This window comes from Homo sapiens, chromosome 3 (genome assembly GCF_000001405.40).
Source record: "Homo sapiens chromosome 3, GRCh38.p14 Primary Assembly".
Lineage (NCBI taxonomy): Eukaryota > Metazoa > Chordata > Mammalia > Primates > Hominidae > Homo > Homo sapiens.
In genome coordinates, this window is record NC_000003.12 from 135376855 (window position 1) to 135393521 (window position 16667).

At 41.4% G+C, this 16667-nt stretch overlaps 1 long non-coding RNA gene across 3 annotated transcripts in view; it reads right to left on the reverse strand.

Moving 5' to 3' along the window:
* The window catches only part of LOC105374122 (uncharacterized), a 161587-nt gene that overhangs the window by 22063 nt on the left and 122857 nt on the right, over positions 1-16667 (reverse strand). For 2 of the 3 annotated variants that reach the window (XR_924528.4, XR_924527.4), the window contains exons 5-6: positions 2927-2993; positions 2408-2573 (exon numbers count right to left, since the gene is read on the reverse strand). This is a non-coding gene — a long non-coding RNA (uncharacterized LOC105374122). Of the gene's footprint in view, positions 1-546; positions 2574-2926; positions 2994-16667 lie in introns of those variants that run through there. The other variant, XR_007096111.1, reaches the window with a different exon arrangement.

Below are 16667 nucleotides of genomic sequence, written 5' to 3' on the forward strand. Positions count from 1 at the left end.
TCTTACCCAGCTGGAGACACACTTCCAGGTACTGGCTTATCTACCTAATCACTTCTCCATAATCATCACTTCCTCCAAGCACAATAATTCTCTTAACAACTTGAGCTCACTACTTTTTAGAAATTCTGATAAACAATTGTGAGACTTTGAAGTACATATACTGGAAGTATATTAAAAACTGTATCCTCATTTTATCAGGTATAGTCTCCCATAATGTACAGATACATTTTTAAAAAGAATTAGAAATTATATTTTTATTTTTTTTGTATGCTGTGCTTAAGTTCCTACCTACCAGAAATTATGGAATCCAAAATGAAAGTGCAGTCTCAGAAACCACAAGGTCACTTGGAGATCAGCTTTGTGGGCAGAATTCAAGTTTGAAGGAGAAGTAATAAATATTATGGACTGATTGGCCTAGTAATCTCCATTTGTCTCCTTCCGTCCAGCACAGAATTGAAAAGGATAAATAGTTGATCGTGGATTCCTGATTCCATCTAGGACTGCAAGACACTAAGAACATCTCCTTTCCTTGGGACGAAGATGCAATGTTTTTGTAAACTTTTATTTAAAATTACAGACAAAATTGATCTTAGTGGGGAAGCCAAGCTTCTCTCAGCCCCTGAATCTAGCTAATGAAAGTGTTAATGGTTTCAATAGACATTGTAAAATAAATACTCATAAAAGTTTGCACAGCACACCGTTATATGGCCCCATAAAATCCACAAGGCAATTATGGAGTTACGAGCTCCCTGCCCACCTCTCCAAGCACCAAGGTTAGCACAAGTGGAGGTGACAGAGGACCCTGGCAATAGGGAGGGGAAACGTTGGAGGTGCACCATGTGCTAACCCAGGGGAGACCAGACATCTCCCCCAGCACTCAGCTTCCTTGTCTGTGAAATGAGTATTTGATCTTAAGTCCAAATTCCCTTTGCTACTCTTAATTTCTCTGTACTTCACACCAGAGGAGAATGTTGGCATGCAAAGTACAAGCATTAGCCCTTCTAGTCACACTCAATGCCAACATTTATTCAGTGTTCATGGTGGACCAGGCATGGTGCTAAGCACCTTATACTCAATATCCCATTTACTCCTCACATCATGCCTATGAACCATGCATTATCATTATCCGCATTTTACAGATGAAGAAACTGATTCCGGAGCCTGAGCGCTTAACCACTGCAACACACTGGCTCGTAGTATAGTGTTCAGGGTGGGGCACAAAGAAAGCATGAGCTCTCTGCCTTCATCTTTGCCATACAACATCCACATTGATTCACTAGAGGAAGGAATCAATATTTCATCGTTTTGCAGCCGTGGAGCACAAATGAGGGTAGAAAACGGAGACACAAAGTTATTAATTGTGATCTAGATGCTGAACACCGTATTCAGGGCCCTCGTCTCTCCAACATTCCTCGTTCTCCTCTGTTCCCTCTCAGTCCACCTGCTGTACCTGAGGATCCCTTGAAACATGACAGTCCAGTTCCTGGAATAGTGCCCATTTAGGTAGTTTCCTCATCAGCATGGCCTTCATCAACACCAAAACTTTAAGAATGCCCTTACATTGGTTCGGTGCTATGCAGGTTGCAAAACACCTGGGTGGCCTAACACCTTAAAAAAACTTAATAAAAATTATTAAAATGATGTTGAGGAAAACAAACCAGTTACTCTGTAGACTGAAGCTCAGTTTGGCTTCTTCTGATGTTTCCCTATGAGTAAATTCAGGTTGTGCATTTTTGCGGGAATTCCAGGAAGTGATGGTGTGTTCAGCTCACTGCATTCTATCAAGAGGCATCTGGTGTTGATTTGTTCCGTTACTCAGGATATTAAGTTTTATCACTGAGTTCAGGTGGTGCCTACCAGGTTTCTTCACTGTAAAGTTCCTCTTTCCCCCATACAATTGAAGGAATGTGTTTGGAGGCTATGTAAATATCTTATTTCTCGTCTTTCTTTCAGTCATTATTTTAACATCCATTGATGAATCTTATCTGAAACAATTACTACTAAAGTAAAGTGGATAGGTAGATAGATAAGCAAAAGACAGAGAATGATAAAGCAAGTGTGATAAAGTGTTAACATTTTGGAAATCTAAGTGAAAGGTTTATGGGAATTCTTTGTACTATTTTTGCAATATTTTATAAGTATGAAATTGTTCCCAGATAATGATTTTTTAAGGATGTTGATTATCACATGAATTGGTAGAAAGGCTATAGAGCCAGACTTGGGGCTACCCAGCTAAAAGCAATGTTCCAATTTTGGTCAAAATTGCCCTGCCAAACAGACCTCTGGGGCCCCTTACCTTCCCCAAACCAGAGATGCTGCCAGTATCCCTCCCCTACCCAGCACAGGGCACCAGGCCAGGCCACCAGCACCATGCTGCCAGAGCAGCTTCCTTGGGGCTCCCACTTACCTACCACCTATGGCACCAAACTGGGTGGATATGTGAGCAACGGGGTCTGTGTCACAGGCTCACCAGGCACAGGGCAGCTGGAAAAGTGACCTTCTGCCATTTTCAGCTTCTCCCACCTGGGCTCATAGGATGGGAAAGTCTTCAACATAAGTAGGAGGGCAGTTTGCTGGGCAGCCAAAGAAAAAAAAATAGAAAAGTCCAGGATACGCCAGAAAATATCTGTGCAATCTAACCTCTCTGAGGCCCTCTCTGTTACTTGGCAATCAGTCCATTTGTTCTCTACGTACCACATTCAGCTCAGTAGTTATATTTCAGATTTTTTTCCGCTTTCTACAAACCCTCCGCCATCTAATCACTGACCTCTCTTACTTGATCATATCCTCATTTCTTTATTTAAAGAGATTGGAGGCTCCCCATGGGAGAGCTCAGACTACTCCTATTGTCATAAGGGCAGACTGATGTGGGTTCAAGTCCTGACCCCATTACTTACTGATTGAGGACATTGAGCAAACTACTTACCTTCTCTGAGCCTCAGCTTCCTCTCCTGTAAAGTGCAGCTAATGATAATGACCTTGCAGGGTGTAGCCTGGAAGTAAAGGAATATATGTGAAGTAAAGCATACTGCCAGGTGCATAGTAGGTACTCGATGCCATTATTTTTCTTCCTTTCTCTTGACCTCTTATAACAGACACTGGTGTGTTGCTCAAATTGGGACTGAAAAACTTCATTCCCAGCTGATGAAAGTGTTTTTGGGGTTGCCAGCCCTCACTGGGAATCTTCCTTGACCAAAGAGAGAGAGTTGACTCACTCAGGGTTATGCCTTTTCCTGGGGCAGCCTCTACCCAGTGACCAGTTGATGCAAATGTATAAAGGTCCAGCTCCCTTATCCCAATTCAGGACAATTCTGAAGGGTCATCACAGCCCCAAAGCTCCCCATGGGGTTGGCTGAGGCCCTTGTCATGACTGCATCACAGCCCAACTCCACACTGTCTACTCTGGATGGCTTCCATTGTCCTTATATGGAACGATCCGGAGAGCACTCCCTCATAAATGTACTGCATGCCAATATCTGTCTGAGTCTGCTTCCTGAGCAACCCATCTGTGACAGCCCTTTTCCCTGTCTTGCCTTCAGGGAAAGCCATCCCTTTCTAGTCTCATACCCCATGGAACCTGATTCCATGTCCTACCATCTGAAAACAATCTCTCCTGCCATCTTGGATGTTACCTTCAATTACAGATGTGTGTTAACAGTGTCTTTCTATTTCCCACCCCTAGCCTTGTTGATGGGACCCGCTAAATCTTTCAAGACCCATCTTAGGTGGTGCCTTTTCCAGAAAGCCTTCTTTGGATTCCCCAGTGGAAAGCATCCACTCCCTCCCCTGATTATTTTGTCCCCCTCTCCTGACCTGGCACCATGTGCAGCCTCCTGAGTTAGTATACAAGTCATTTGCTAGTTTACCTGTATATCCACTCCTTGCCTCCCACTCCTCTGCTCTGTGGCTCAGAGGCCTGACACAACAAGTTGCATTTCCCAGCGACATGTGCCCACCAATTTCTGGTTAGGGCCAGCCAGTAGGAGGCATGGATGAGAGCTTGGTAGGAAGGAAGAGAAGAGAATCCAGGGAATTTCTTCCCCCTCTCTGCTTTGGGGAGAGACATCACTGGCAAGGTCTGTGCCCACCTTGGCTCCACCAGGTAGCCCCAGCTCCTGGGCTCCAGTCACTGTCTCTGCCTGTTGCCTGACCAGCTTTGAGGGGCAATGGTTTCTCTTGTTAATCTCTGGGTTGCCTCATGGTCCCTTGTGTTCAGTTATTCCAAACCTGCTATAACTATTCTCCCATAGCAAACTCCCTCAATTAAACTTGCTGGTTTGGGTTCTGTTTCCCTGATGGTTACAGATGTTATTTCTGTATTTGCCTTGCCCTCTTTCACAAGACTGGGAAGATCTCCTGGGCAGGAACAGAGACAAAGCCTGCAGCCAGTAAAAGCAAAATTGGCTCTTCTCCTTGCCGGTAAGTTCGTGGGTGAACACCCGCATTTGAAAAGCTTCAAATATGTTATTCTTTAAAACAAAGACTCCCACAATTAACTAAGGTTGCCTCCTCTTCCCACTTTCCATAGCAATTTAGAAGAATCCAGGAATCCTTGACCATTTTGTACAGAAAAAGCCTTCAGCAGCTTAACTAACCTTCTCGACTAGGAACATCCACACTCTGCAGTGTCTCCTGCTATGAAAGCTTACAAACTTTTTTTTTTTTTTTTTTTTTTTTTTTTTTTTTTTTATTGAGCAAAGTCCTGCTCTGTCACCCAGGGGGGAGTGATCTTGGCTCACTGCAACCACCACCTCCCGGGCTCAAGCAATCCTCCCGCCTCAGCCCCTCCGAGTGGCTGTGACTACAGGCATGCGCCACCATGCCAAGCTAATTTTTGTAATTTTTGTAGAGATGAGGTGTCACTACGTTGCCCAGCCTGGTCTCAAACTCCTGGGCTCAAGCAATTTGCCTGCCTGGGCCTCCCAAAGTGCTGAGATTATAGGAATGAGCCATCATGCCAGGCTGGTTTACAAACTTTTAATATTGAAACAAAATATGTTTTACCCAGCTGATGTCTCAAAGAATTATCTCCAGATCTTGCTTGTGGTTTTGAAGATAAATATTAATAGCAAAGCTGTTTGTAAATATCTGAAACAAATGTAAGCCTTTAATTATTTTTTGCATTAAACATTGACAACAATTGATATTCCCCACTCATGAGCTATAAACATTGTGTATGTGTACATGGGTATATATTCTGCTTAATAGCAATTATTGTTCCGTGATGACTGGGGAAATTGCTCTGAGGTTTAAAAGTGTATTTGCATCTATACCCAAGGGATTGTGGATAGTGATGCCTACTGTCTCATCCACCTTATTTAAAATTTGCAATAGGAAACACAATTCAATCTAGCACATTTCTAAAGCCCAGTGGAAAATAGATGGGGCAGCAGAGTCAGAAAATGCAAATCCAATGTTAAACTCCATCCCAAACCCATCTGCCCAGGTTTTATTTCCTTTTCTTCTTCCCCAAGGCCAGCGGTGCTGACTCAGTAGTGCATTAAACACAAATGTGTGAGTTCGGCCCTGACCAGCCATTAATCAATGTGCAGCCACAAAGCAGCATCCAAGGGTTAGCAATCTACTGCAAGGTGCTGAGCGCATGCAGGGAGAAATTAAACCAGGCTTTAGAGGTAGTTAGGGGCATACCCACTTCCTCTCCTTAAAGGACCTAGTTGGTTGAAATAAAAATTTAATGCCAAAACAGAATTATAAATATATGTTATATTTTAAAGGTGTGCATTTAACAAGTTGACTTGTTTAATGGTGGAGAAAGAAAGAAGAAAGGACAGAAGGAAGGAAAGAAGGAAGGAGGGAAGGGAGGAAGGGAGGGAGGAAGGAAGGAAGGAAAGAAGCAAGGCATTGATTGTACACTCAGCCTCACCGAAAATAAGAACAAAAAGTTTACACTTGAGACCTCTGGAGATAAGAGGCCTGAACAAAGGGCCTTCTGTCCCTGCTCCTGCCTCTCAGAGGCACTGGGGAAAACAGGGCAAGTTCAAGACCAGCCATCTCCAACCCAGCTTAAAGTGCAGATATGATCCACCAGAGAGCCTCGGACACTTTGGTTAATAGAAGTGGCTTTAACGTGGAGGAGCCTCATGAGGAGAGGGGCTGGCCTTGGCCTCTTCATCCTGATTTTTCACCTTAGATTAAGTGTCCAGTGCTGCTCAGCCTGGAAAGCAGGTACTTTCCCCTCATATGCTGCCTGTCCTTGGGCAAGGGCGGCCTCCTGCTGTCAGCACGGAACTCCTCCTGGGACCCTTGAAGAAGGCAGGATGCATGTTCAGTTCTCAGGGAGAATGCAGGGCGGAAGGGAAGACTCAGAGATGATTTCTCCTGGGGAGTCTCACACGACAGCAACTCCCTCCTTTTGTCCCCTCCCTATCTCTTGTCTCTTTAATCTCACTTGCAGGAACCACATGATGTGATTCACAGCTCCAGCCCTACCTGGGGAGGGGTGCAAAATGCCCCTGCTAGCGCTCGCTTTCTCTCTCTCTCTCCCCCTCTCTTTCTCCAACAGAAGAGACTCCAGAATATTGTCTTTATTAAAGGGAATCATAAGCCCCAAACTGCGGGTCCCCTGCTCCTAATGCCACAAGGTGGGAGGAGCACTTCAAGCATGGAGGTTGGAGGAACCTCGAGCAACAGTAACCTAGCAACAGTGTCTCAGGATTTGAATGTAATTATACCCCAAGCGTGATAAATACTCGGAAGGGCTCCTTATGTGCAGATCATACTAAACAAGTCTTTGAAATTACCCTTATCAAATATTGATAGAAGAAAACTTTTTTGAAAAGAAAAAAAAAAAACCCTAAAGTGCATGGACAACCTTTCCCACCAAGTGCCCTGGGCAGTGGGAGAACACCAGCCAGGGAAGTGCAGAAAGCCTCAAAACCTCTTTCGCAGGTGATGTGACAGGTCTGAAAGAGAAGCCGGACCTGGAAACCAGAGCTTCCTTGCAGATGCAGTGCAGCATTGGACACTGAGGTCTGCTGTCTGATCGCAAAGTCAGGAGAACTGACCTGGGATTTGGGCCTCAGTTTTCTCATCTCTAGAGAGAGTGTGTTGAGCAAGATGACCTCTCAGCTCTGCGTTAGCTGTGCCCTGAAGGAGTGGAAGTGAGAGGTATGAAGTAGGCAGTGCAGGCAGGAGCAGTCCAGACAGCAGGAACAACATGGATACAGGATCCAAATCTTTTGCATCCTCAATACCAAGGTTAGTTTGATAGCGTCCAAGACACTGGGGGCTCAGTGTGAGGGCCGAAGCTGAGGTGAATAGTCCCAGGTGCTGAACAGCCTTGCAAGCCTTGATGAAGAGCCTAGGCTTTATTCCGAGTGAAAACAGGAGTCACTTCAGGTGTAGATGCTGTGAAGTATGTATGTGAAGGGCAGTGATGGCACAGTCAGATGTACATGCTGGAATAGGTCTCTAACTACTCCGTGAGGATGGCTGCTGGGCCATCCTGCCCAGAGGCTGTTGGCAATAATTGACTTCACAGAAGGTGGAGGATTTAGGGCAATCATCAGGAGCAGCCCTGTGACATGGAGCTGGCCTTGAGGTGTCTTTATTCAGGTGCTTTGTTAAGACTCCTAGGACAAAGCCCAGAGCTGCCACCATCCACCTATGTGCTGCACCAGGTTAATGCAAAAGAAGCCCCTGAACACCCAGTGTGATAAGATCCCGGGATCAGTGTAAGGCTGACAAAGACAAGCCTGGAATGAGGAAGTTTGGAGACGGAGAATCTGCTCTGGAGAAAAGAACAGAGGATTTAACAGTAGAAGAGAGGATATCAGGTCTCTGTCTTAACATCAGATTATCAGTGGTACAGAGCTCCGAAGATGGAGACTAAAATCAGAGAATAGGACAAGAGAGAAATGTCTTACCCAGAAACTCAGCCTGTGTCATTATTATTTCGGTGTCCCTGCCCAGCCTGACCACTATCCTACTGTGGGATCTATGCCAAGCTCTTTCCCTTTGGGGCAAAGTGCTGACCAGGCTCTCCCATCAGGCTGCTGGCCTGGGCCTGGGTGACACACAGCAAGCCCAGTGCATCCAGATCTGCTTTCCCCTTGCTTCATCCCTGAATGCCCTCATCACAGGGGAGAGCTCTCTGCTCTGGTGTCTCTCTCTGGGACTGCTGCGCATGTGTTTCCTGCTTGTTCGAGGAAATCGTCTTCCCTTAGATGCCACATCTTTAAAGGGCCTCAGATCTCATCTGTGAGCTCTCTTCTCTGGGTTGAGCTCCCTTGATGGCACTGCAGGCACCTCCCAAGAAAGTAAGGATAGGGAAGGCAGGTGGACCCTGCTTGAAGGAAGCACTGTTTACAGAAATCCTCTTGAACAAATGAACAAACTAGCTAAATAAAGGCAGACTGTTTGATTTTCATGAGACTCTTCCTAGAGATTTCTGTAAACCCCCACAGCCCCAGAGCACCACCAATAAGTGCATTTAGAGAGCACTGTATGATGCGCTGAAAGGGCAAAGGGTAGAAAAATATGAATACCAAAATATTAAGGGCCACTTTCTTTTAAAATCAGTGGAAATGGAAGCATGGTTGACCCTAGACACATAATAGATAGTTACCGGGGGACCAGGGAAGGAGGAAAGACACCAGCATTAGGGCAAAACTTTCTAGGGGTCTCCACATGAACAGTTAGCAAGAAGAGGGTTGGAGAAAAGATCTGACTTGTTACTTGAGTTCAGTCTTTTGACTTCTGAAAACATTTCTGTCTTCTGTGTGTTCGTTTTCTGACATGAGAAAGGAATTACTGGGTATATACATTTACTAGATACTGCCAGATTGTTCTCTTAATTCTCCAGGATTAAGTTTCTCCCTTGGGTTTTGATTTGCATTTCTCTGATGGTCAGTGATGATGAGCATTTTTTCATGTGTCTGTTGGCCGCATAAATGTCTTCTATTGAGAAGTGTCTGTTCATATTCTTCGCCCACTTTTTGATGGGCTTGTTTGTTTTTTTCTTGTAAATTTGTTTGAGTTCTTTGTAGATTCTGGATATTAGCCCTTTGTCAGATGAGTAGATTGCAAAAATTTTCTCCCATTCCGTAGGTTGTCTGTTCACTCTGATGGTAGTTTCTTTTGCTGTGCAGAAGCTCTTTAGTTTAATTAGATCCCATTTGTCAATTTTGGCTTTTGTTGCCATTGCTTTTGGTGTTTTAGACATGAAGTCCTTGCTCATGCCTATGTCCTGAATGGTATTGCCTAGGTTTTCTTCAAGGGTTTTTATGGTTTTAGGTCTAACATTTAAGTCTTTAATCCATCTTGAATTAATTTTTGTATAAGGTGTAAGGAAGGGATCCAGTTTCAGCTTTCTACATATGGCTAGCTATAAAGACACATGCACACGTATGTTTATTGCGGCACTATTCACAATAGCAAAGACTTGGAACCAACACAGATGTCCAACAATGATAGACTGGATTAAGAAAATGTGGCACATATACACCATGGAATACTATGCAGCCATAAAAAATGATGAGTTCATGTCCCTCGTAGGGACATGGATGGAGCTGGAAACCATCATTCTCAGCAAACTATCGCAAGGACAAAAAACCAAACACCACATGTTCTCACTCATAGGTGGGAATTGAACAGTGAGAACACATGGACACAGGAAGGGGAACATCACACACTGGGGCCTGCTGTGGGGTTGGGGGAGTGGGGAGGGATGGCATTAGGAGATATACCTAATGTTAAATGATGAGTTAATAGATGAAGCACACCAACATGGCACATGTATACATATGTAACTAACCTGCACATTGTGCACATGTACCCTAAAACTTAAAGTATAATAAAAAAATAAAAATAAATAAATAAATAAATACCCCAAACCATAAAACTCTAGAGGAAAACCTAGGCAATACCATTCAGGATATAGGCATAAGCAAATATTTCATGACCAAAATGCTGAAAGCAATTGCAACAAAAGTCAAAATTGACAAATGGGATCTAATTAAATTAAAGAGCTTCTGCACAGCAAAAGAAACTATCATCAGAGTGAACAGGCAACCTACAGAATGGGAGAAAAATTTTGCAATCTACCCATCTGACAAAGGTCTCATATCCAGAAATGACACAGAACTTAAACAAATGTACAAGAAAAAAAACAAACAACCCCATCAAAAAGTGAGCAAAGGATATGAACATACACTTCTCAAAAGAAGACATTTAAGGTGATATTCTCTATCTATTTCTGATACTAATTCTTAAACAGCTACACTTTATTACTTTTATCTTCTTCCATTTTGTTGCTTGACTTTCACTATGCTTTGGTGTTTTTCATTGATACATATTTTAATTTTAATTTTAATATGGTAAGATTTAATAATTTTTTTGCCCTTTCTGTGTCTTGTTGAAAATAATTATTCTTAATGTCATAAGGTTAATTTATATATTTCTTCTAAAATGGGCGGCATTTTGCTTTTTTATATTTACGGCATGAATTGAGGAAATAATTTTAGTTTTAAATGGTTATACAATTGTACTATTTACTGAATAAGTTTATTTCAGGGCTAGATATTTTTATTCATTGACTGTCATATAGTTAATAGATGGGAGTTAAAGGATTCCATTTAAAATTAATATGCCAGATAATGAAAGGTTAGGTAAGAAAAAGAGGATTTAGTGTCATACAAAGTATTAATATAAAGGTAACTACTGGAATAAAAATATAAACCTCTATAAATACCAGAAAAAATTGTAAAAGGCCAAAAGAATATACCAAATACAGCAAGATAAACAATGAGTATGACAAAAATATAACATAGTATACACAGTAATCCTAATATAATATTACTGAATTGACAACAAACATAATACTTCTATCAGTCAATGTGAATGAGTTTAACTTCTCTATTAAAAGAGTTTTCAAGTAGGCTCATAAAGCAAAATTCAGCTCTATAAAAGAGATACACCTAAATCACAGTGATTCAAAAAAGCTAAAAAATAAAGGGATGGACAAATATTTGCCAAACAAATGGAAGTAATACAAAAAATAGGAATAGTGGTTGTGCTATCAGCTAAGTAGAATTCAATCCAAAAAGCATTATACAAAACAAAAAGACCACTTCACAAATGAAAAGCCGCATTCTACAATGAAGACATAACAGTTCTTTATATATACACATGAAATAACACAACAATTACCTTTATAAAACATAAATGACAAGAGAAATAGATAGAAATACAGTTTTTTTTTTTTTTTTGAGACAAAGTCTCACTCTGTTGCCCAGGCTGGAGTGCAGTGGCATAATCTCTGCTCACTGGGCTTAAAATATTTTCTGGTAAGAGGTTTATATTTTTATTCCAGTAGTTACCTTTATATTAATCTCTGCCTCTCAGGTTCAAGCAATTCTCCTGCCTCAGCCTCCCAAGTAGCTGGGATTACAGGCATGCACCACCATGCCTGGCTACTTTTTGTATTTTTAGTAGAGACAGGGTTTCACCATGTTGGCCAGGCTGGTCTGGAACTCCTGGCCTCTAGTGATCCACCAATCTCAGCTTTCCAAAGTGCTGGGATTACAGGCGTGAGCCACAGCACCTGGCCTACACTTTTAATAGAAGATTTTAATACAGCACTCTTAATACAAGGTAAGCCAAGTGCACAAAAGGTATAAAAGAATATAAAAGGTCTAGCAGTCTAATTAACAAGCTAACTCTTTAGGGTATATGTCTTAAACAACACATCCTGATAATGGAGAATACACCTTCTAAAGAGCACATGGAACATTTATAAAAATTAGACAATAATTCTGTTCCATTTGTTATTTGTCTATTCCTGAAACAAAACCACACTGTGTTGTCAATAAACCTTGACACCTGGTAAGGCAAATCTTTCCATCTTCTTGTTTCTCAAAATTGTCTAGATTCACAGATCCAAAGTAGTCAATGAAGCCTGAGCACAAGAAATGAAGAAAGTAACACCAAGGCAAACTAATCAAATCGTATAAAACCAGTGATAAAGAGAACAGCCTTAAAAATGGCTGGAGAAAAAAGACAGCACACACACAGAGCAATGATACGAATAACAGCAGATTTCTAGTTTGAAACAATGTAAGCCAGGTGACAACAAAGCAACATCCTAAAAGTATCAAAAGCAAAAATACCTGTCGACCTGGAATTACACACCTAGAAAAAAATACCTTTCAAAACCAAGGCAAAAAAAGACTTTTTCAGACATTCAGAAGCTGAAAAAGTCATCACCAGCAGAGCTGCACTATCAGAAATGTTAAAGGAAGTCCCTCGGGAAGAAGGAAACGACAGTAGATGGAAATCTGGATCCACACGAAGGAAGGAAGAGCAGCAAAATGGTAAAGATGTAAAGGCAGCAGGGGGAATGGTAGCCCCCAGAAAGATACGGGCATGTCCTAGTTCCCAGAACCTGGGAATGTTAGCTTATTTGGAAAAAAGGGTCTTTGTGATATAATTAAGTTAAGGATCTTGAGATGACATCATCCTGGATTATCTGGGTGGGCCCTAAATCCAATCACAATTGTCCTTATAAGTGTGAGGCAGGGGAAAGTAAGACAGAAGAGGAACAGAAGCAAACACACAGAGAAGAAGGTGATGTAAAGACAGAGGCAGGGATTGGAGAGCTGTGCTATAGGCCAAGGAGAGCCAAGGAGTGCCGGCAGCCAGCAGGAGCCAGGAGGGAGGCTTGGAGTGCATTCTCCTGGAGCCTCCAGAGAAAGTCTGATCCACCTGACACGTTGATTTAAGGCTCCAGGGCCCCAGAACTGTGAGAGAATAAATTTAATTTGCTGTATACCACCAAGTTTGTGAGAATTTGTTATGTCAGCCACAGGAAACTAATACAGTGGGTAAATCTAAAAGATTTTTTTCTTATTTTAAAAATTCTACTTCAGTGCGGGGTGGATCAAGCCTGTAATCCCAGCATTTTGGGAGGCCGAGGCAGGCAGATTACATGAGGTCAGCAGTTTGAGATCAGCCTGGCCAACATGGTGAAACCCATCTCTACTAAAAATGCAAAAATTAGCTGGGTGTGGTGTTGGACACCTGTAATCCCAGCTGCTTGGGAGGCTGAGGTGAAAGAATCGCTTGAACCCAAGAGGCAGAGGTTGTAGTGAGCTGAGATCATGCCACTGTTACCAGCCAGGGTAACAGAGCAAGACTGTGTCTCAAAAAAAAAAAATTATACTAGGAAGATAATAGACTGTCAAGCAGAAGTAATAATGCATTCTAAGGTTTACAACATATGCATAATTAAATATATAACAATTATGACACAAAGATCAGGAGAGGGTAAGTGGACAAATACTACTGTAAGGTTCTTACATGCAAGAAATGATATTATTATAATATTATTTTAAAATAACAAATATAAAAATGGAATTACACAAAATATTTAACATTCATAATTTATAATTAATTATATTTGAATAAAACAAAATTATTTAATCTTTCTAGCTACCCTAATTTAAAAAAAAAATTTAATGTTTACTTTATTTGACCCCTCCATGTAGTTTTCTATTATAATTAGTTGACTCTGTTTATCTGTAGAGCTGATTAGTTTCTGTGCTCTCCATTGTTTCTTTTATTCCATGCCTTCCTTCTTGATTCACTGTCCTTCCTTATACTGAGTCTTTCCCAAGATTTTTGTTTATGTTTGCTTGTTTTTTTACTTTTAGAGGCAAGTGATTGAAAAATTATCTTTTCTTTTCTGATATTTTAAAATGTCTTTTTTTGCCTCCTCTAAAGTGAAGTGTGCGTAGGTATACAGTTTGTCACTTCAACACTTCAAATGCATTACTTTATTTTATTCTAGCATCTATTGTTGCTGAGGAGAAGTCTGCTGTCAATCTGATTGCTTATTTCAAGCTCTGTCTTTGTTCTCTAGTAATGCCTGAAGGAGTCTTAGCTATTTTCTCTTTAACAACAACTTCTCTGCTGTGACTTCTATTTTCTCTTGAAGTCCCTATGAATATTTGTTGGATTGCCTTAAACTATTCTCCATATTTTCTTAACTTTCCTCTTAAAATTCATTATACCTCTTTCCCCTTCTGTTCTAAATTCTGGACACATTCCTCAGTGTCATCTTCTAATTTACACCATTTCTCTTCAAATATATCTAGTTTAGAATTTATATAATTCATTGGGTATTTCAGTGACTATAATTTTTATTTCTAATATTTGTTGATCTGATTTTTATTGTATGTATCTGTTCTTGTTTCATTTCACTGACTTTGCTTCCTAATTTTTATTTTTAACTGAAATTAGCTATTTAATTGTCTCAGATTTTAAACCTACTTTTCAAATCTTTCTTTCACTCTTAAATGCATTTTTGCTTGAGTAAATATTTATTCTGATAGATATTATTGGTCTTTCTTGGCTTTAGATTTCTTCAAGATGTTTAGAATTTGGGGTTTTAGGCTCACTTTAAGAGGGTCTAAATGGGTTGCTACACCTATTTTTTTTTTTTTCTCTCCATTCTCAGTACTCACTGACTCTGTCCAGCAATTGTATGGCTGCCTCTGTTCAGTACTCCCATTGGAGGTTCCCCAGTCTAGAAATTCTTGCCTTACACTGGCAGCTTAGAGTCCCTGCCCAGAAGGATGTCAGTTATAGAACTGATCCAGTCACAAGGCTGTGGAAGGCTTAATGCACGTCTTGCCACAGGCTGAGTCTGTGTCTTGACTCCTTGTCCCCCAGGTTCACAGGTTGCTGGGGCCATCACTGTGGCAGGCCATGGATCATTGGGGTTTTTCTTTAGGGTTTTTCATGAGCTAGGATGTCCTTTCCCAGGCCCTAGCATCAAGCATTAGGCTTTTTCTGGCCTCTCATCTTGCATGGAGCCCCTTAGTTCCATTATCCAACAGATGGCTTACTTCTGGACTTTCTGCCAGACACAGAGAGGAGCAGACACATGCCTTCAGCTTTGCTCATTTCCCTGCCTTTCTGTCTTATTTGAGGTATGCAGACATGTTTATATTGTGTTTGAGCCTGTTGGTATCCTTTTTGCTTTTAATTGTTTATCTATCATTGCTGATCATATGCAGCATTGGGGATATCAAATCAAACGTGTGAACATACTGATGGTCTTAATGGATGACCCAGAAGTGGCTTTTTAATGTACTAGTGTATGGTTGATCATTTGACCTTTTGAAACTAGGAAATAATTCTTAGTCTCTCACCTTTATGTCACTTAGGTTCAAGGATTTGGAGCCACCAGTCTTAGAACCACCGGCATAAGACATGGAATTTGAGAAATTTAGAACTGTCCTTCTTAAAATATCTTCCCCACAGCCTGGGGAAAAAAAAGCGCATCAATTTTAGTGTAAATTGAACACACAGTCAACCTGCTGACTGTGTGGGATGTGGAAGGATCTCACTTGAGACCCCAAAACTATCAACCCATTAGCATCTAACAGGAGAGTTTCACATTTGCCACTCTGACTTCCAGCACTGGGCAAACAGTGGCATCTGAGGGACAGGGAGATGTGGCAAGGTGGCTGAGTCAGCAAAGCTGTCAAACAGGATACACGAAGGGCCAGTTACAGATTCATGGTGACAGACTCCGGCACATCTGAGTCCTCTGGACATGGGGAACAACCAAAAAGCAGGTCACGGTGTGTATTTTCTGCATGTCAGGGGTATAGTCTCATATGTATTTCAGTGCACTTGTTCTCTCAATATGCAGCTGATGATTTGTGGTTTTTCAGCTAGATCAAGAAGTCCACCACACACATAAAATAATCATCTATTTCTTTCCAAAGATTAAGTTAATGGGTGCAATTTTTCAAAAAGTTGAAATTCTTTTTCCATCACATTTCCTTAAACTTTGGAGCTGGCAGCACCTCTCAACCACTGATCACTAGTTGAAGCTAAAGAGGCCAGGTCTCATCCAACATCAGCTTTGTGCAGCCTGCCAGCCTCATCTTGACAGTAGATTTGATCATTGGGCTCATGTTTATTATGTTTATTCTGCCAAAATGTGGTTTCTAAAAATGTGTTTTTGACAAAGGCAAGACCCACTTTAAAAGAGTATAGTTCTCTGTTTCCAAAATAATTTTCACAGAATGATAATCCTGTTAGCCATTTGTTGGAATTACCCAGAACTTTTCTGTTTTTCAAAAACTGGGGGGAAATGCTCGATTTCAAAAGGTTAAACTTTAAAATTTTTACTTTCGAAATGATCAACTTCTATGACACTCACATGTGTGGTATGATTCCTCGAGATAGGGATTGGGTGTTCCACTTTTCTAGACACATTTGATCATGGAAACCTTTTTCAGAGCACTTTCTGGAGCTTCTGTTCTGCAGAACCCTCTGTGGGAAATGCCATAAAGTCCTACAAAATGGTTGTGTGGTATTATTAAGAAGAATAATATTTCATGGTGTTCTGCAGAGAGTAAAGTACTGACTTCCAGGTGCCCTGCAATCCTAAATGTTTTGAGAACTAACTGTTAATTATTAAAATTCCCCTGGTGGCAGCGTGGAGTGTAGACTGCAGCAAAGCCACCTGGCAGGAGTTCCAGGAAGGTGGACGCTGCTGTAGGAAAATTATACAGTGTGAATTATGAAAGGCTGAAGTGCTCAAGAAGGGGGAATGGGTTTCAGAGAAGAATCAAGCAAAACCGTCTGATTGGATGTGAGCAGTTATGAGAGGGGGAACCAAGGATTGATTG